Genomic DNA, 20,992 nt, shown 5'->3' on the forward strand with positions numbered 1-20,992 from the left:
TGGTTAGGAAAGGAGGCTGAACAGTAAAAACTCATTAATAGCTTAAAAATAGTTCTAGACACTAAATTATTAACCAAAAAATAAAAGTGACAGATAGCTTGTTCAAGTTATAACAACTTCCTTTGGGGCCAAAATGGGGGCACTATTTATGTTGGTTAAGCAAATCCTGCATGTGTTAGATACTGGACAGAACATTCATTGGCTGGGTCACTAGAGAACAGCAGGTGAGGTAGAGTTAGGAAGGCAGATGAAGCAGATGTGTAACTGTTATCCCCTGACACATGACAATCCAGACTTTGAGAAGGTGAGCTTGCCCAGAAAGCATCAGGATTTTCATTCTGAAACACTTGACCTCTACATAAGCAGGTAATCAGCAGGAAGCCATGAGCAGTTTGCTTTTTCCCATTTGAAGAGACTTGAAGGGAGTATGCTCAAGGTTACCCCATGTTTTATAACTTCTTTTACTGATAAATTAGAACTTATTTTTTTGTTTAAATCAAAACTAAGATTTCTCACACATTCTTTTTTCCTCAGGGTAATGATCTCCTGCAGGAAGACAATACAATCTGTTTTGCTGGTGTGAATCACCTTGTTCTGTCTTAATGTCATGAGAGCCTGGGTGCTGGTCTTTGCAGATGGACTACCTGTTCAGTGGGAGTTATTAACACTGGATCACTGTTTCTATTTATAAATAGAAAAACAAGGGGAATAATAATACTTGAATCATTTTGTTTTGCCTTGAGAGAAAAGATAACATCACATTTAGGCTTGCTTTCTCATCATTAATTTTTTATAGCTTTACTTTCTGAATTTGTACTCACATAAAAGGATACTCTTGTGTAATCCTAGGTTCCCTTAAAGACTATAAATAGAAACCTTTAAAATTCTGCATCCATAGTTTAGGGACATGAATTATTTAAAAATTTTCACCATATCTTATGACTATTTTAACTTATTACCATGGTAGCCGTATGTACTGAATGTTAACTTGCAAACAATACAAATTGAGAAGACATATTTTACCTCCCTTTTTACCATATTCTTGTTTGGTTGATCAATGTAGGAAGAATAAAGCCAGGAATACAGATTCTCTATTATTTCATATCAAACACACAGATTTGAGAAATTAAGTAAATTTTACAGCTTTTTCTAACCTGTGCCTTTTGGTGGCTAAGAAACTGGTACTTTGAGGGGCAGAGGAAATTTTGAGGTAAAATGTCACTGTCTTTAGTTCTCAACAATTTATCTCCAAGAGGAGTGTAATTTTACATGAGAGTTGCATGAGGATTATCAATTGCACAATGTAAATGGTTCTTATTGCATTTTCTTGTTATTCCAATTGGATTATTAAAGATAGCCTTAAATTGGATCTTATATGACATCAATAACTAATATAAAGAGAAGAGTTTTAGCAATAGATCTATTTTATTTATTAAAAGAGTGTCAACTGTAGTCCTGCTTTCTTATTTATCATATATAAAATTTGGCCTTATGAAGGACTGAGTTAGAATATGATGGTTCAAACATAGGCATGTCTTACTGTCACTTCCTCATGCAGGGAAATGACAGCTTTGTCCTTATGCAGAGCTCTTCCTACGCTCATCAAGTAAGCCTGGGACCCAACCTGCTTTATCTGTTTCCACGTTTGATAGGAAAAACATTGCTGTTTCACTGCATAAGTATACTTTTGTTGGAATATTAGTTTGCTTCTGCATTAGAGCCAAGAGACTGAATAATTCGTATTTGAGCTCCAAGACCTATAAATCCTAAACTTGAAAATATATTTATTAGAAAGATACAACCCCAAAGCACTGTTGATGCGTAGGTGCCTTACTTCACACTATGGGGTCAGCTGACAACCCTGGGCAAATTTGATTGAAGAAAATAAACTAATTTATGATCAAAAGGCAAGAACAGAAGTGACTGAGAACCTTAAGTGGCTCAAAACAAAATGAATGCTGCCTGAAAAAATTAAATAAGTTATCTGAAAATGGTGGACAATCCAGCCATATGTTTGTATGCAAACATAGCAGGAAGTTGAAAGTTTGGCCGTTGTGTAGCAGCCAGACTTCAGAGCAGAACACTGGATTTCATTTCTCAGTAAACTCTAGTAGTGCACTAATTTTACTTTATTACTGTATTTAATAATGTTAAAACTTCCTTAAGAGTAAGTAGCCTTTCATCAGATGACTAAAACATTCAAAAAAATATCCTAATAGAATGACTCAAGCTTCTATTTCCACTTACTGTGGGGAGTCTAAAATATCCCTTAAACAGGTTTTCATGGATTTCTAGGAGGTTCTAGATAGGGGAGACGTCAGGAGGGGGGTATGTTTTTTTTCCTAGGGATCTCTTTGGGATTTCGTGCTGAGTACTTAATCTCTGATTGTTGTATTCGCTCTTGAAACTACTGTTTGACTTCTATAAACTTTGGCAGTGAAGGGACATGTGCCTTCCATATTCCTCAATAAAATACTTGTACATCATACTTTCATTGAACATTTAAAATCATGGTGGCAGCCTACAGCATAGCAGACAACTAAAGAAAACCTAAACCCCCTATTCTTACAATTCTGGGGCATCTCTGTTTTGGGGATTCCTTATGACTATCTTTCCTTGACCCTTTCCTGATATCATGCTAATTACCCTTTACTCTTCAGAACATTCCTCCTAGGCATACTCAAAACTTTGCATAGGTCTTGAAATAAGATTCAGAATTATAATATTTCATTAACACATCCTAGTTCAAATTCTAAGGCAGTCCTCGTTCTCCCATTAAACAGAGAAAAATCCAAACAGTCCCCCTATTTTTTCTCTCTATTGTACATATGTTATATACATGTACAAGTTAGGAAATTACTTATCCAACCATGACATCATGAGGAAGGACTTGCATTTCTGGTGTATTCCTGGTGGCTTATCAAATTTTACTTGCAACCCTGACTGTTCTTTGTTAATAATTATTTCTGTATCTGTTATGTATACCTTATATAAGAGTCATACTGCCTTTGCAAATTCAAACTATTTTTGTTTGTATATAAATATCACTTTGCTGCCATTGATTGACATATAAGATTATTTTAAATTTTATTTGAATGCATTCCATGGTTAATAAGTACAGTTATCTTAATAAATTTTAGATTTTTAGATTCTAGAAATTCTAGATTTTCAATTCTTGATGGAGCAGCGAAAATAGAATACTTTCTGTCCTGGTGGTAGTAAAGACTTTTTTAAAACTTTTATTTTAGGTTCAGAAGTACATGTGCAGGTTTGTTATATAGGTAAACTCATGTCGCAGGGGGTTTTTGTACAGATTATTTTGTCACCCAGGTACTAAGCCTAGTGTCCAGTAATTTTTTTCTTCTCTCTGTCCTCTCACCTTCTACCCTCAAGCCCTCAAGTAGGCCCCAGTGTCTGTCATTCCCCTTTGTGTCCAGGAGTTTTCATCATTTACCCCCCAACTTATAAGTGAGAATGTGAGGTACTTTGTTTTATGTTCCTGTATTAGTTTGCTAAGGATCATATCCTCCAGCTCCATCCATGTTCCCGCAAAAGACATGATCTCATTATTTTTTATGGCTGCATGGTATTCCATGGTGTATAAGTACCACATTTTCTTTATCCAATCTGTCACTGATGGGCATTAAGGTTGATTCCACATCTTTGCTATTGTGAGTAGTGCTGTAATGAACATTTACTTGCCTGTGTCCTTTTGGTAGAATGATTTACATTCCTCTGGGTATAAACCCAGTAATGGCATTGCTGGGTTGAATGGTAGTTCTGCTTTAAGCTCTTTGAAGAATTGTCACACTGCTTTCCACAATGGTTGAACTAATTTACACTCCCACCAACAGTGTATAAGTGTTCCCTTGAGACTTGTTTTATTTATTATTTCTTTTTGTAGATTCATATCTTTTTGCTGACAAAATAGTCTGACATCTTTCAGGGAAAACAACCTTTATATCATTGTTTAATATTTTTTCATAAGTTTTTTGAAATTCTTTGGGGCTTAATGAAATAAAAAAGAATTGTTTAAATTTGTGAGTAGTAAAACACCAACTAAAAGCATTAATTAAAACCTCTTTCATTTTATTCAAGAGTGACCAATATTTTGTTTTAAATAATTTCTTGGTTTCACGGAGGTGGGAGAGACCTCAGTGGTCATCTAGTCTGTCAATTCACAGTGTAGAAAACTATCCATTTGTATCCTCTTTGTGTACATTAATCCTTTTTAAATAGTCTCCCCATATACCCTCAATTCTTTCTCATATATTTAAACTTCTGTCTCCTTATAACATTGCTTTTCCTTTGAATGCAAAGTCTGTCTGTCATGCGTCCTTCCTTTCTGACCCTGACTCTGATGTTGACTCCTGTCCCTTCTGCTTGACTTTCTTCTTTGAGGCAGTGTATGCATCTAAGTTTATGTTCAAAGGGTCTCAGTTCATCCTGATACTTATTTGACCCCATATTAAGATACTTTGATATCACTCCTATTCCCAAGTTGTTCTGAAAACTTAGTTTTTTTCCTGAATAGGAAACCTCGAGATTGTAGAGTTTGGCTGGCTTTTTTGTATAGAAGATATTCTTTCATTAATAAACTTCATTTTATCACAAACATTTAAGGATAGTAGGCTATACTCTACCAAACCTCTGCTGTTATCTTCAATAGGTTTTGTGACTCCTCCTCGACTACATTCTGTTGCGTATTTGATTTTTGTGTCAGACAACTTCAAGCAAAGCATTACGATTGATCTAAAGTCTATGACTCAATTTAAGCTAACCTTGAGTAGTAACTGTAAATCTCTTGATTGTTTAATGCTGTGCCATATATCGATAACAATAATAACAGCTAATGTTGGCGATCTTGAACATGTCTTTAAATTAAATATTTAATGATTAATCCCACCTCTATCCCTCTTAGTTTGGATTACGTAAAAAAAAAGACACAAATAATATACAGAATCATAATATAGATTTTTTTCTGGTAAAGCTAGATGATAAAGCTGCCACCACAGTCAGATTTCCTGACACCTGTCCTCACAGCAAGTATTTGGGGTAACCATCTAAGATGAGACTTAAAGCTGGCATTTGGCCAGATGTATGGGGAATCAACATGCTTTATACCCAAAGGAAGAGGTAGGTTTGACCTCTAAGCGGCAAGTCATAGGCTATATCCTGAGTGAGGCTATATCCTGAGTGGTGGCAGGGACAAGAAGGAATCGCTCCTTCTTGGGCACAGAATATTACAAAAGGGGAGTCTTAGGAGGGGAGAGTTAATCTTGCTTTGTGTTTTTCTAAACTTTTCCAGTCATGTAATCTTTCTCTCTAATGGGAGAGAGATTGAGAGAGAAAACTGTTCTTAACATTTCTGAAAAGGCAGTCAAACTTTCTTTACAGGAACATCTGGAGAGGGAAAGATGGTCCCCACTTTAAATAACTAATATTCAGTGAGGACTTATTATGCACCAGGCACTGTACAAAGTACTCCACCTTTATAGTGCAAATGTAGAAGACTTCAAAAATTATCTAGCATTCCTTTCCCCCATATTCTGCTAAGAACCCTTTTCTTCCTTAGCAGAACCAATCTTATCTACTCCATAGAGTTCTAGTGGAACTTCCAAATATGTACCTACTGGGGCAGACCTTGAGCCCAAGCTAGACCATCGATAGTTCCTCACTCCCCTCCTAAGTGTAGTGATTTGTTCAAAGGGTAAACATGTGCATTGAGCAGTTGGAATTTCAAATCGTGTTATCTGCAAATAAAGTTAAATTTATCTCCTCCATTCTGATATTTACACCTTATTTTAGAAATTAAGTTAAAGAATTTACAATCTAGCTAAAAATAGGCATTGGCTTTGAATAATTCTCAGAGATGATAGTTTTTTGTTTTGTTTTGTTTTGTTTTTTTTGAGATGGAGTCTTGCTCTGTCGCCCGGGCTGGAGTGCAATGGCGCGATCTCGGCTCACTGCAAGCTCTGCCTCCCGGGTTCACGCCATTCTCCTGCCTCAGCCTCCCGAGTAACTGGGACTACAGGTGCCTGCCACCATGCCTGGCTAATTTTTTGTATTTATAGTAGAGACGGGGTTTCACCGTGTTAGCCAGGATGGTCTCGATCTCCTGACCTCGTGATCCGCCCGCCTTGGCCTCCCAAAGTGCTGGAATTGCAGGCGTGAGCCACTGCGCCCAGCAGAGATGATAGTTCTTTTCTTTGAAATATTAAAATGATAAGTCATATTAACAGATTTTCTAATATTCCTAATCAGAGCTTATGTCACAGCCAGACACATAATAGGTGCTGTTAGCTAAAAACATGGATAAATTCAAGAAGGATTGATGGACAATTTGGTGGATGATTTACTTATTATATATGGAAGTTAATGATGGCTATGAAAGTGGTCTATAAACCTATTCATGAGAACAGAAGCTCTTGAAAATTTTGGTCATAGATTTTGCAGTTGCAAAGATGCTGTGCTTTGTACCTAAGATTGAATGTTCCTTTATATTTTATGTAAGTACCTTATTTGATTTAATTTAATCATTAATGTCACTATTAGCATAGTTTAACATGTTACATTCCTGGAAATCCTTAATTACTCTTTTTGACAATCTACCTATGTTTTATTCTTTTATGTAATTCCCATCACTTCACTTTCAAGCCATTAAAATTACATAAAGTAGACTGGAGGTTTATTTGCCTTTAGCTGTTGCTTCTGCATTTTTAAGATCACTTTCCCTCTGTGGCCTTCTGTAAGTTTACAGGCTTACTAAAGACTTCATTTTAGCCAATTTACTAGAGACCTATTTTCCCTACAGGGTAACTACAAATAAATATAAAATTATATTGGAAAATAAAATCATCTTAGTACACTTTACATAGACCATTTTGTTTCAGACTTTTATGGTATAGATGAACAAGATAATATTTTAATATTCTGGCATTCCTGTGATCCTTGGCAAGTGTCATCATTTTTATTTTATGGAGGTGGGAAGAGGGATGAGAAGCAGATACTATTTGCCTAAAGTTACATGGACTGTATCTTCACCTGAGTGAGAGACACACAAATGTCTGGCTTCTCTGCTCCCTGGATCATCTTTATGGTTTGTGTCTACCTGAGATACAATACTATATACAGTGCCTCCAGAGGTTATTCTTGGGTAAATGCCTGTGAAGCAATCATGTATTTAATCTATGTAGATTATTGTTATCAAGATGTATGATATTTCATTAATCATAATCTACTGGCATGTGATTTTCAATGCTAAAATATGCCATATAAATCAAGCACATATCACACAAAATAATTGTGCACAATTGCTTTGGATAATTTGATTTCTAACCAAATGTAACACTACATCTTGAATGACTTTGAGGTATAAGAAGTTTATGAGTTGTAGTAATTAGTTAGTGGGCCCCATATCACATTAAACGGTTCCATTTAAATTGTGAGGAAATAAATAGAACAGGAGTTACTATACTTACAAATCTAGGTCTCTCTTTACTTAATTACATTGCTAGACTGTCAAAACACTTTCAGAGAAGAAAAAAAAAAACTTCTGTGAACAAATGTGTCTTCAGATTCCTGACAGTCAATATTAATTTCAGAGATACTTGCTGTAATCATTGCATGATCTTTGCCTGTATAAGCTAACCTGCTTCTTTTTTTTAAATAAGAAAATTCTTGGTTTATTCAGTTCTCTATATGTTAAATAATACAATGTCTTGGAAAGCACCTCATTGATTTTTTTTGAGTGAGGTTGTTGGTTTAAACCTTGGAATATAAGATTATTGTTGAAATTTAAGTGTTGAAATAGTCACTGTGAGGAATGTTGAAGACAATTAAAATTTAACTGAAATTCAGGATGAATTGATATTTACACAGAATATAAGCAATTCAGAGATACATATAACAAACGGCTTCTGTCCTGATTTTTCCTCAGCCATATTGTAAACAAGTATTTGTAATAAGGCAACATTGATTTTTATCCCAAGACAAAAGGCTGTTCACCAAATCATAGCAACTCTAAGTTAAAAACAAAACCAAAAACCTCTTAAAATACTTTTCATAAAGGGTGCATTAAAGGGTGCAAGTCTTGGTTTTCTTTCTTCTTCCTCCTACTCTAACAGAATTATATTGTATGTAAGGTGTCAAAAATTTTCCAGCTATAAAATAGTTTAGATAACCGTAAAGCAATAAAGTAGTAAATGAAAAATGAGACAAACTGAATTTATATATAAAATGGTTTAGCATCAGTTATGCTAGCTGATATCTTGAAAATAATGGTTGAAGTAATCTTATATGATTTAGCTGCAAGTATCTGTGGCAATAAATTCAAGTCTAGAGTTATCCTCCAGTCATGCAAAATATTGAACACAGCATATCATTTTAAAATGATGTGTGGTGCACCATGTAGAGAGCAAAATGGCAATCTACAATAATACTTTCTGACCCTAGCTCTCCAACAAAGCTACAGTTTAACTGGTTTATTGACAGGGTAGATTGTTATAGATTAAAGTGGTTCACAAAAGATGGCAGCTCCAATTCTTTTGTAATAGTCCAACTGAGCTGTTCATGAAAACCTTTCATCCAAGTAGCTCAGAACATTACTAATCAGTACTTTTATGCCTAACATTTATGAGATAACTCATTTGCAATGACTTTGAAATCTAAACTAGTATTCATTAATTATGTCTGTGAGATGTTCTAGCATATTTAAGATATTTAAAAGTGAGACACTAAGGCCTAGTAAGTCTCAATAACCTTTCCAAAGACATGCCATTAGAAAACTTGTCCTCCGAGGCTCAACTCTGTCCTTGGACAATTGACTCATATTTTCATCTTGAGTAAGGGGGGACAAATTAAATAGCCTTTTCAGAACCATTTGACTTTGGGCAAATTGCTTAACCACCATTTGTTTCTGTCCTTACATGATTATAAATAAGAATACCACTGACTTTCATCATTTCACTTGCTTTACAAAAAGATTTATCTAATTCACATTCTATTTTGCTTTTCCAGAGAAGGTCTATGAATATCAACTATAATTAAACATTTATTTGTTATTGCAAACCCTTTGAATAAAGAGTTTTATTTCATGTTTAGGGGACATTGTATTTTCTTAGAAACCCAAACCCTTTGAATTTTCTTCATATGTTTCTGTGGAATATTTAGCAACTGAAATCTCCTTCATTTAAAGTGTCACGAAGAACAGATGGTGCCCCTAAAAAGACTAGTTTCATATGCAAGTTATTTTGCAATAAAGCACTGTCCTTGAATTGTATTCAAAGTAAACTTAATGCTTGTAAGTATGAATCAGAAAGCCAAATGAACCAGAAGACATAAATGGAAGATAATTAATGATAATACTTACGTTTAAATAATTTCATTGTCATAAATATCAATGCTTGTCAGAATTACAGAGATGGAATTTTAACATCTTTAAGTTCATCCCTTATCCATACAGTTTGAGACTTTGAATGAAAGTTTCCTATGTGACTTCTCAAGGTAGATACGTATCTGGGATCCTTGTGTGAATTTCCCTTAACTCTTGAATGCAGTTTCTCCACCTGCCTTTAAGCCTTCCAGCTTTCTGTGACCTTCATGGCATTTATTACAGAGCTTGCATTTTGCTTATGGGCCACTGACTACTACTACTGACCTGAGAATAGCTAAATCTATATCATCTTGCTATTTGATCATCTTATTTCTAGGAAACCTGGCTGTCCCATTGGCTCTATGAATATGAAATAGTTGCGATTTCAAATATAGTTAAGTCTGGTACTGAGGGATGTGAAAATTTACATAATTTAAACATCCTTACTGTAGATAAATTATTGGGATATGGAAATATCTGTGTTTTGAGAATATTTATTTCCTTCAAGTTTATGGTGTTTTATTTTCTTCATTTCCCACACCTGGTTTGTCCTGTTTCTTCCTGGACATCTCCTAGGATGCTCAGCACTGCTCCCTTCTAGGCTTCAACTCTACCTACCTCAGGGAAGAAAAAAGGAGTGAAACTAAGTTTTGTCTGCTGTCTAAATCCCCCAACTTTAGCAAAGATCAATGACAGTATATTACCAGGAAAATATTTGAGGAATTGTGTGATAGCCAATTGTATGTGTCGGGTTGGAGGGTGTTTTTGGATAAGATTAACACTTTGTGAACTTTGAGTAAAACAAATCTCACTCCATAGTGCAGGTGGGCCTTACACAATTAGTTGAAGGTCCAAATAGAGCAAAAAGACTAAATTTCCTGAGCAAGAGATAATTCTTCGGCAGATATCTTTGGATTTTATTTTCATCATCATCTCTCCTGGGTCTCCAGCCTGTGGATACACACTACAGATTTTGGACTTGCCAGTCTCCATGATCACATGAGCTAATTTCTTATAATAAATGTCTTTCTCTATATATACACACATATTCTATTAGTTCTGTTTGCTAATCCTGAGTAATATAAATTGATTCCCAGTTTAACACAGAATATGATGGATCAAGAAATGTAGGTGAAGTGGAGAGTAGCAAAAACAATATGGTGAGAAAATTGTGGCTTCACTCTAGACTAGCAACTAACCGTCCTGGGTGAGTATCAGTGAAGTTGAAACTTCTCCTATATCAAAATGAGGACATTCAATCAGATAAACTTAAATATTCTTGCCAGCCTTTACACAGATGGCTACATGAATCCCTGGATGCTCTTAGCCTGAGAGAGGCCTGTAGTTTCTCTGGTACTTCTTCATCACTACATGGGAAAAATGTACAAAATGGGGGCCTTTGTCAGGTATAAAGGAATGAATGTTTATCATTAATGAATGAATCATTCATGAATGGGTAGGAGACCCATTCATCTCCTACCATACTCAATAAAAATCAAAATATTCAAGCAATTCATTTACAAAACAAATTCTTAACTATATGTAATTTTTTTGTGTATGTTACTTTTTTAAAAATACCATTAATGATGAGTTTAATAATTCTAAAAGAATACCTAATGTAAATGACGAGTTAATGGGTGCACCACACAAACATGTATACATATGTAACAAACCTGCACATTGTGCACATGTACCCTGGAACTTAAAGTATAGGAAAAAATATATATTTATAAAAAAAAAGGAAAGAAAAATGGAATCAAGGAGAGAGGAAGAGAGAGAGGGAAGGAGAAAGAAAAATGTAGCAATTGAAAGAAAATAATCAAAAGTGTTCACAAATAATATGGTCTTTGTTGAAAATATTGAAATATCTACAGATAATTTATTGGGACAAATGAGAGTGTTTATCAGGATTGTTAGGTAATAGTTCAGTGTCAAACTACACAACTTTTTAAAAAAAATCAATGGTGTCTAATAGAAACAGATTAGGAAATATGATTTTTAAATATTCACAACAGAAACTAAAATACAAAACACAATGAGATATTTATGAAGGAAAATATTGAAGAAAGACCTAAATATGTATATATTATTATATATTTATTTTTATATAACATTTTAAGGGTGGGAAGATTTACTATGTAAAATATACCGATTTTCCTTAAAAAAAATTATTCTAAAAGAAAACGACAAGAAAGTAAACCAACCTTCCAGAATGATGTCTCCCAGGGATGTCAGTTAAGACTCCCTGAGGCATCAAATAGAAAGTTAATGGGAGATATGGATATAATTGCTGCTGTATCAGTGCCTTAAGCATTTCCTGTTTCCCATCACTTGTTTTGCTGAATGGTTTTGTTAAATGATTTCTTTCTTTGCTTCCCCTCCCACCTTCCTTTTGAATTTTGCTTTTAAAAATCCCTGTAATTAGTTTCTCTGTGTTATCATGCTAGTATCATTATAGATTCTTGTGTATTTGCTGTGTGTGCTACTTTTCTAGAAACCAAGCAGTTTAAGGAAAAGATGTAATTTATTAGAGTTTAAAGAATACAGAGAGCAAATATGAAGGGTTATATAAAATTTATATAGGCGTTCAGGTTACTCATATTTTTATCATAGTTATGTAAATGTTAATCACAATCAAATTCTAAATACTGAAAATGCAGATGTAGAAGCCATTGTTATATTTTAAGAATAATTATTAAATTGTCCTCTTGCTATCGGTTATAAACTGTGTTCTTCCGTCTGAAGGAATGTAGCTTGGTGGTACGAACTGGCATAGTATGTTCTGTCTTAGTTCATTTATGTTGTTTTGAGCATTTGTGTCTACCACAAGTATGCAAAGCCCTGTCCCATGTAAGTGTCTATTCTGTCGAGACCCATTGATAGCCTCCCTGGGTTACCAGTAGTGGTCTGATGTAGTCTACTTGCCAGCTATGTGCCGGGCCTCCCCCCAGGGGATTTGTACAGTCACCTATTATTCAATAGTGATCTGTATGCCTTGCATCAATCCATGCTTCTCCATTTTGCAACATTCAAAACTAAGAAGACTTCTAAATTAGTCACTCAATCCATTTAGTAAAGGTTTTTCAGGAAGCCGATGATACTGAACTGCAAAAGGAAACAATTCCTTCACATTATGCTGCCTGATTTCAGTAGTTTTTTTGTTTCCTCCCACCGTAGTGATTTTTCACTATTATTTTTTCCCTTTCATAGCGGCTTTAAGGCTACATGCTCTAGCTCAGATTGTCCCAAACCTAAGGTTGATGCAGTAACAGTGTCTACCCCAACATTTTGCTTTATTTTGAGCTTAGCTATTACAGATAAAAGAAAAACCAAAGGACTGTATATTTAGCTTGCTTATCATTATTTTGCATTTCCTTATGTATCCAGTGAGCAAACTACTTAGGAGTTGGGTCTACCACTTCTAAATTCTACTGGTAACTTTCACTTCTAGTAACTGATCATAGCATGGCTGCTGTCTCATACCCAAGGGGACTTGGTAGCTACCTAGGCATCAAAAGTTAATCTTTCTTTGTTCCTTACACTTCCCCCAAACAATGATTTTACCATGCTTCCATGATTCAGTCATTCTAGAGAATCGCACTTCTGATGCTTAACTGTATTAACTTAATTGATGAAAAAAAGACATGTGATGAAATTCAATCTTCATTTATAATAAACTCCCAGCAAACCAAAAAGGGAATTTCTTCCATTTGAGGACATCTGAAAAAGTCACTCCCTTCTAGTCTACAATTATCCTTATACGTCAACAGTTAAAGACTAAATGCTTCTCCCTTAACATCAGGAAGAAGGTGAGAATGTCTGTTCTGATACTTCCCCTGAACATTTCTGATACTCTCTTTTCCAGTTTTAGAATTTTCATTGGAAGCTTTTAAAAAATATAGCTCCCAATTCTTTGCTGAAATTCTCTCTTCATGCATGTTGTCTACATTTCTCCCTGAATCTGTTAGCATTTTTATCACAGATAAGTTAAAGATAATAATCCAACCTCTGAGCCATTCCTGGGCCGCCTTCTGTTGACACTTTTCTACCTTGACCATGGGCCACAGTGTTATGCTTATTTTTGTGTCTCATAGTGTTTGATTATATAGAGAACATTTTGCATAAAAGGATACTAGACACTAAAGTTAATATTTACCTCCTAAAAAAAGCATGCTGCTTTTCTTGTCAACTGCTAGAGGAGCACCTAAGTTAGTGTGGTTATCTGTTGTTGTTGAGCTGTTCACTCATTCGTTCATTAATTAATTAATTCATTTGCCTTTCATTTGACTCAGTTCACCACTGGCTTCAACACTTTTGAAAGTGGGATCAGGACTTTCCTTTCAATAGTGTTTGGGATTATACATTGGAAAATTTCCAGAAATTTCTTGGTGCTTTACAGGTGAACCACCAGCTTTCCTAACTATGGGTGATCTCTCTCTCCTCTATATTCTGACTGCCAGCTTTTTGGGATGCTGGGGCATTCTTTTTGTACCAGGTGAAGGACTATTGGAAAATGTTGGCGTGTGGGTGTAGATACACTCTGACTGGGGCTTCTTTGAATTCTAGTGTGTAATGCCATATGGTGGTTAAAAGTTTGTTAAAAGTTCTGTTCATTCCTCCTTCAACCCATCTGTGGTACATTTGTCCTCATTCCTGTCATTATGCCTGAAACATAAGCAGCTGTGGTCTTTTTTTCTCCTATGAAAGGCTTGGCTCATTCATTTATTGAATTAATTTAGATTTCTTCGTATCTTCAGATTCCTAATTGGCTTAAAAACTATGATGTTGCAACTTACTTGATTTGTTTTTGTTATTAGGGTGAGAGTTATGGTCTCTTTTGACTTTCTATATCCTAATCAAATGCATTTTAATTAATTATGCTGCTCTACCTTTCTGTCGAGAGTTAAGTGCTTTGATTATTGTGATATTTCCTATCTAACAACGAAATACCTTAAAACTGTGTATTGGCATTTGAGTTAAACTGTGCCTATATCCCATACATTTTTATATATCATGCTTTCATTGTCATTAATTTATAATTTTTTCACTTAAAACAATTTCTAAATATTTTTAATTGCAGTTGATTTCATTTCTCCCCAGGATTACTGAAGAAGAGGGCTGTGTGTGTGTGTGTGTGTGTGTGTGTGTGTATGTTCAATTCCAGTTTTGTTACATTGTGATCGGAGAGTATAGTCAGATAAATTTCTGCTTTGGGGGGAGTCCTGGGGTTCTCATGTTCTAACACTTAATAGCACTATGTTTGAGTCAGAGTACTAGGGGCGTTGGGCATACAGGTAAGCAATTAATATCTATTGAATGAATGAAAGAAAAGTTTTCTTCTGGTAAATGTTAACTATATACTTTTGAAAACTGTGAATCTAAAGTTAGATCTATATTATTATTATTATTATTATTATTTTTTGAGACACAGTCTTGCTGTGTCACCCTGGCTGGAGAAGTGTAGTGGTGTGATCTCTGCTCACTGCAACTTCCGCCTCCCGGGTTCAAGCAATTCTCCCGCCTCAGACTCCCAGGTAGCTGGGATTACAGGTGCCTGCCACCATGCCTGGCTAATTTTTGTATTTTTAGTAGAGATGGGGTTTTGCCAAGTTGGCCAGGCTGGTCTCAAACTCCTGACCTCAGGTGATCTGCCCGCCTTGGCCTCCCAAACTGCTGGGATTATAGGTGTGAGCCACTGTGCCCGGCCAGATCTATATTATTATCCAGTTTAGAACGTCTATTATTTTTCCTAATTGATCAAAGACTGAGGGAGGTGTGTTGTTTCCTGCTGGCTTTTCTGTCATTTTTCTTCTTATTTTTTCTTAAAAAAATTACTCTTGTGTTTTCGTTGCTCTTATTTAATACTTAATGACTCATGCTAGTTATACTTTTTAATCACTCTCTTTTGTTTGAAAAGCTTTTTGTATGCTTAGACTTTTAAACTTTTTTTTAATATCACTTTTTTCAGTCATTCTTATGAATGATGTCTGGTTGTATTTCGTTTAAGGTTCACTACTGGAGACTTTGTCTTTAACACATTTTTTTTTTTCTTGAGACAGAGTTTCACTCTTGTCCCCCAGGCTGGAGTGCAGTGGCATGATCTCGGCTCACTGCAAACTCCCCCTCCCAAGTTCAAGTTATTCTCCTGCCCCAGCCTCCCAAGTAGCTGGGATTACAGGTGCCCGCCACCACGCCCGGCCGATTTTTGTATTTTTAGTAGAGACAGGTTTTGCCATGTTGGCCAAGCTGGTCTGGAACTCCTGACCTCGTGTCCGCCCAACCCTTCCCTCCCAAAGTGGTAGGATTACAGGCATGAGCCACTGTGCCGGGACAACACATTTTAATTTATTGCCGTAACTGTATATTTTGCCTAATACTTCCATATTGTTTTTATTTTCTATTTTTTATTCACTTTTCCTCCTATCACTGCTCTTTCTTCTCTCTTTTCTTTTTTCTTCTTCTGCTTCCTGTCACCTCATACCTCCTCCTCCTCCTTTTCCATTTACCTATTGCTATGTAGACAACTTTTTCGTCACTGTTATCCTTGTTTCTCTTCAAATTATTTTCTAATTTTACATGGTTTTAAATTTAACCTTAACTTTGAATGATGCTTGACCTTATATTTTTATAATTCCTAAGAAGCAAATAAATCACTATTTCTTAACTGTTTAACCATAAAAGATGAATAATGGGAAATATGTGTCTAATTTGGCTATACATTGTAATGATCATTTAATCTCAATAGTTCTTACTATTAATGCAAATATTTCCTGATTTCTGCAATTACTTGGCTTGTAGTCCTAATTTTCAGCATTGTTAAAATGCATCACTTCTGCATTTTCATAGCTATCTTCTTGGGAAACAGAACAAGGCTGATTCACATCTTACCAGCCAGGTGCCATTTTGTGAATTCACCTTTGCTAAAGTTTCTAATGGTTGCTGGAAGAACGTAGAAAAGCTATTGATTTTTCTTGTTTATCTTTTATTCAGCTAATTTACTGAACTGCCTTATTAATTCAACTGGGTTTTCAATTGATTCTCTATAATTTTCTGATTATACAATTATATTATCTAGAAATAATGAAAATTTTGTATGCAATTTTCCAGATTTAGTGTTTCTAAATTATTTTTTCTATCTTGTTTCACTGGTAAGTATGCTTTGGCTGTTTGTTCAAGACACACTATTGCTTTAGCAATCACTACATTGTCTTTTTAAAAATAAATGCTCACAAACTAACTGTATAATCAGTTCCTGAATATTTAGATTTTTGCCACATACCCACATCTGTAGCTTCCATATTCCTTCCTTTTTTTCTGATTGAACATAATAATTTCAAGGCATCTGGATATTCTATAAACATTTTTCCAAATTACTAACCTGGCTCTGAGATCATGTTTCTTCAAGTTAGAATTAATATGAACCTAGTGTTTTAAGTTCAGTACAGAGTAGTTATATGCTCTCTCTTACTGTCTCCTCACTTATGACATGTTTTATTCCTCTACCTAAAATGATTATCCCACCTTCTGTTCTATAGGTTGAAGCATATGAATTTGTCTTTAGATGAAAAGAGGAATCTATGGGGACTCCTTCTTAACCTATTCATATGGGTTAATCTAATACAAGCAGCCTTAACACGTAGGACTTTAGGAACACATTCCTGTTTTTTGTGGGTGCAACTGACAAGTAAATAGTGGAACCTGTACTAGTCCCAGGTCAGGATACTCCTTTGTGCTAGGCATCCTCCCTTGAATGGGCTTGGTGGGCATTTAATATGATGGAAGTTACTCCAGTTAGACAATAGTTTGACTGCTACTGAGACGCAATTTCCAAAGGAAGCCAAAGTAACCCATTTTGGGTTTGGGTTGTAACACCCCAAAGCAGTCACATGTGTGATTAGGGTTTAGTTTCCTTATAATTTTGTTCTCCCCAGTCCCCCAATTGTATTCATTGGTTATTTCCACCTGGATTGCTGTTCTAGAGGCTGGGTTTTAAGTCAGCATTCTTAAACCTAATTTTTTAGGGGTGATGTTGATGTCTAGCCTTCCCTTTCCTCATTAACAGGAGCTAACAGACTCTTTCTAATGAAAGCCCCTCACTCACCAACCTGTTTTTTCATGTTGGCTAGAAGGAAAAGCAGTGTGATACTGTGAAGTCAGATTTCTGTTCTCTATTTCTGACTCCATTCCTCATTTGTTTGGAAACCGTTGGCAAAAGTGGGCAAGAGATAATATGGAATAATAAAGTTTGTTATAAAGGAATACCTGAGAAAATCAAGGACAGAGGAAGTACAGCATTTAAGTGAGGATAAAAACATAAGTGGCCAAATGGAGGAAAAATGTGTCTTATTCTTTCCACAGATTACAAAGGCGAAATGAGTACTGAGGAATTTAGGTATTCAGGTATCTGCTGAATTATCTGAGCTAAATAGCACTCAAAGCTAAATTCTGTACTTCTTGATTATTTAATTTCTCAGAAGTTAGAGTTAGAAACTTGATATCTGCTACTTTGAACCTAATTTGGGGCTAGTCAATTAATTAAATATTCTAGAACTTGGAACAGAATGACTACCACCCTTGAAGATCTCATGCAGTCCTGGAAAAAGAATGGTGAACAAAGGGAAGTGCCTTAATTTTGGGAAAGCAAATTCCAAGTAAGAGCTAAAATAGGCATACTCTTGTAGCCTGAAAGCATAAAAGGAAACAGTCTCCAAAGCTTGAGAGTTTTCAAGAGTAAAATTCCAAATATAAAAGTAAAAGATTCATATGACTCAAAAGAGATGGAAGCAAATATGGTGTTGCTCATCTTCGTAGAGCCTTATGAGATTTTAAATATTTATAAAAGGTGAAGGAGATGCATAACTAAGAACTAATGTAAAACTTCAACATGGTCTTGTAAGATTATCAGGAAGGCCAATAGAAGAATAAACTGAAGTTTGGAAACAGAAAAGGGATTCGGTGGAGAGCACAGGGTTCAGTTTTTCTGATGTTATTAACTTCCATGCTATTGATAAGGGTGATCCAGGGCATGGAAAACCTCTTGGTTATATGCAGCATCTAAGGGCATCACTCTAGCTCCCACTTCCTCCTTTCTCCGCACTACTTTTTGTGGCACAGCTGGATTCTGTCATTCTAGTGAAAACCTTAGATAAATGCTTTGATAAGGCATATCTCTTCTTTGCTCATAAAGTTTTTATGGATTTTTAAATAAAATTTTCAACCATACAAAAAAGTAGAATTAACACACATATACCTACTACATTCGTGTTGATATAGTTTTATCTTTATATATGCTCAACTGGTTTAAAGTAAATTGCAGAAATGAATTTACCTGAACACTGTAGTATATATTTCCAAATTAACATTCATCTATATAGATGCAATGTATTAGTCTGCTCTCACACTGCTGTATACCTGAGACTTGATAATTTATAAACAAAAGAGTTTTAATTGACTCAGTTCTGCATGGCTGGTGAGGACTCAGGAAACTTACCATCATGGTGGGAGGTAAAGGGGAAGCAAGGCATGTCTTACATGGCAGCAGGAAAGAGAAAGAACAAGCAAATGGGGAAACTGCCACTTTTAAACTGTCAGATCTCATGAGAACTCACTATCATGAGAACAGCATGGGGAAAATCACCACAATGATCCAATCACCTCCCACCAGGTCCCTCCCTTGACATGTGGAGATTACAATTCCAGATGAGATTTGGGTGAAGACACAGAGCCAAACCATAACATTCAATCCTGACCCCTCCCAAATCTCATGTCCTTCTCACATTGCAAAATCAATCATCCCAACAGTCCCTTAAAGTCTTAACTCATTCCAGTATTAACTCAAAAGTCCAAGTCCAAAGACTTATCTGAGACAAGGCAAGTCCCTTCTGCCTATGAGCCTGTAAAATAAGGTAGTTACTTCCAAGATACCATGGGGTTACAGGCATTGGGTAAGTGTTCCCTTTCCAAGTGGGAGAAATTGGCCAAAAAAAAAAGGGGCCACAGGCCCCATGCAATTCTGAAAACCAGCAGGGCAGTCATTAAATCTTAAATCTCTGAAAAATGATCTCCTTTGACTCCATGTCTCACATGCAGAGCATGCTGATGCCAGGGGTGGGCTCCGAAGACCTGTGTCTGTGGCTTTTCCAGGAGCATGGTGCAAGCTGTCAGTAGATCCACTATTCTGGGATTTGGAGAATGGGGTGGCCCTCTTCTCACAGCTCCACTAAGCAGTGCCCCAGTGGGAACTCTGTGGGGGGGCTCCAATCCCACATTTCCCCTCTGCATTGCTCTAGCAGGGGTTCTCCATGAGGGCTCCATCCTTGCAGCAGACTTCTGCCTGGACATCCAAGCATTTTCATTCATCCTCTGAAATCTAGGTGGAGGCTCCCAAAGCTCAACTATTGTCTTCTGAGCACATGCAGGCCCAACACCATGTGGAAATTGCCAAGGATTAGGGCTTGCATCTTCTGAAGCCACAGCCCAAGCTATACCATGTACTGAGCCTGCACAGAGCAGTGGGGCCCTGGGCCTGGCTCAAAAAACCATTTTTCTCTCCTAGCCCTCCAGACTTGTGATGGGAGGGGCTGCTGTGAAGATCTCTGAAATGCCCTGGAGACATTTTCCCCAATGTCTTTGCTGTTAACATTTGGCTCCTTGTTACTTATGCAAATGTCTGCAGCCAGCTTGAATTTCTCTCCACATAATGGGTGTTTCCTTTCTACTGCATGGTCAGGTGGCAAATTTTCCAAATTTTATGCTCTGCTTCCCTTTTAAACATAAGTTCCAATTTTAGATCAGATCACCTCTTTGTAAATACTTATGACTAGCTTTCAGAAAAAGCCAGGTCATATCTTGAATGCTCTGCTGCTTAGAAATTTCTTCTGCCAGATACCCTAAATCATCTCTCCCAAGTTCAAAGTTCCACAGATCTCTAGGGCAGGGACAAAATGCCACCAGTCTCTTTGCTAAAGCATAGCAAGGGTGACTTTTGCTCCAGTTCCCAACAAGTTTCTCATCCCCATCTAAGACCACCTCAGCCTGGACTTCATTGTTCATGTCACTATCAGGATTTTGGCCACACCATTCAACAACTTTCTAGGGAATTCCAAACACTCCCATATCTTCCTGTCTTCTTTTGAGCCCTCCAAACTATTTTAACCTATGCTTGTTACCCAGTTGCAAAGTTGCTTCCACATCTTCAGGTTATCTTCACAGTAGTATCCCACTATCCCAGTATCAATTTTCTGTATTAGTCTGTTCTCACACTGCTATAAAGTTATCACCTGAGACTGAGTAATTTATAAACAAAAGGGGTTTAAATGACTTACAGTTTTACATGACTGGTGAGGCCTTGGAAACTTATGATCATGGTGGGAGGTGAAGGGGAAGCAAGGCACATCTTTTATGATGGTAGGAAAGAGAGAGAGCAAGCAAAGGGGAAACTGGCACTTTTAAACAATCAGATTTCATAAGAACTCACTCACTATCATGAGAACAGCATGGGAGAATTGTCCCCATGATCCAATTACCTCCTACCAGGTCCCTTCCTTGATACATGGGGATTACAATTCCAGAGGAGATTTGGGTGGGGACACAGAGCCATACCACATCACATAATATTAC

This window comes from Homo sapiens, chromosome 2 (genome assembly GCF_000001405.40).
Source record: "Homo sapiens chromosome 2, GRCh38.p14 Primary Assembly".
NCBI classification, from domain to species: Eukaryota; Metazoa; Chordata; class Mammalia; order Primates; family Hominidae; genus Homo; species Homo sapiens.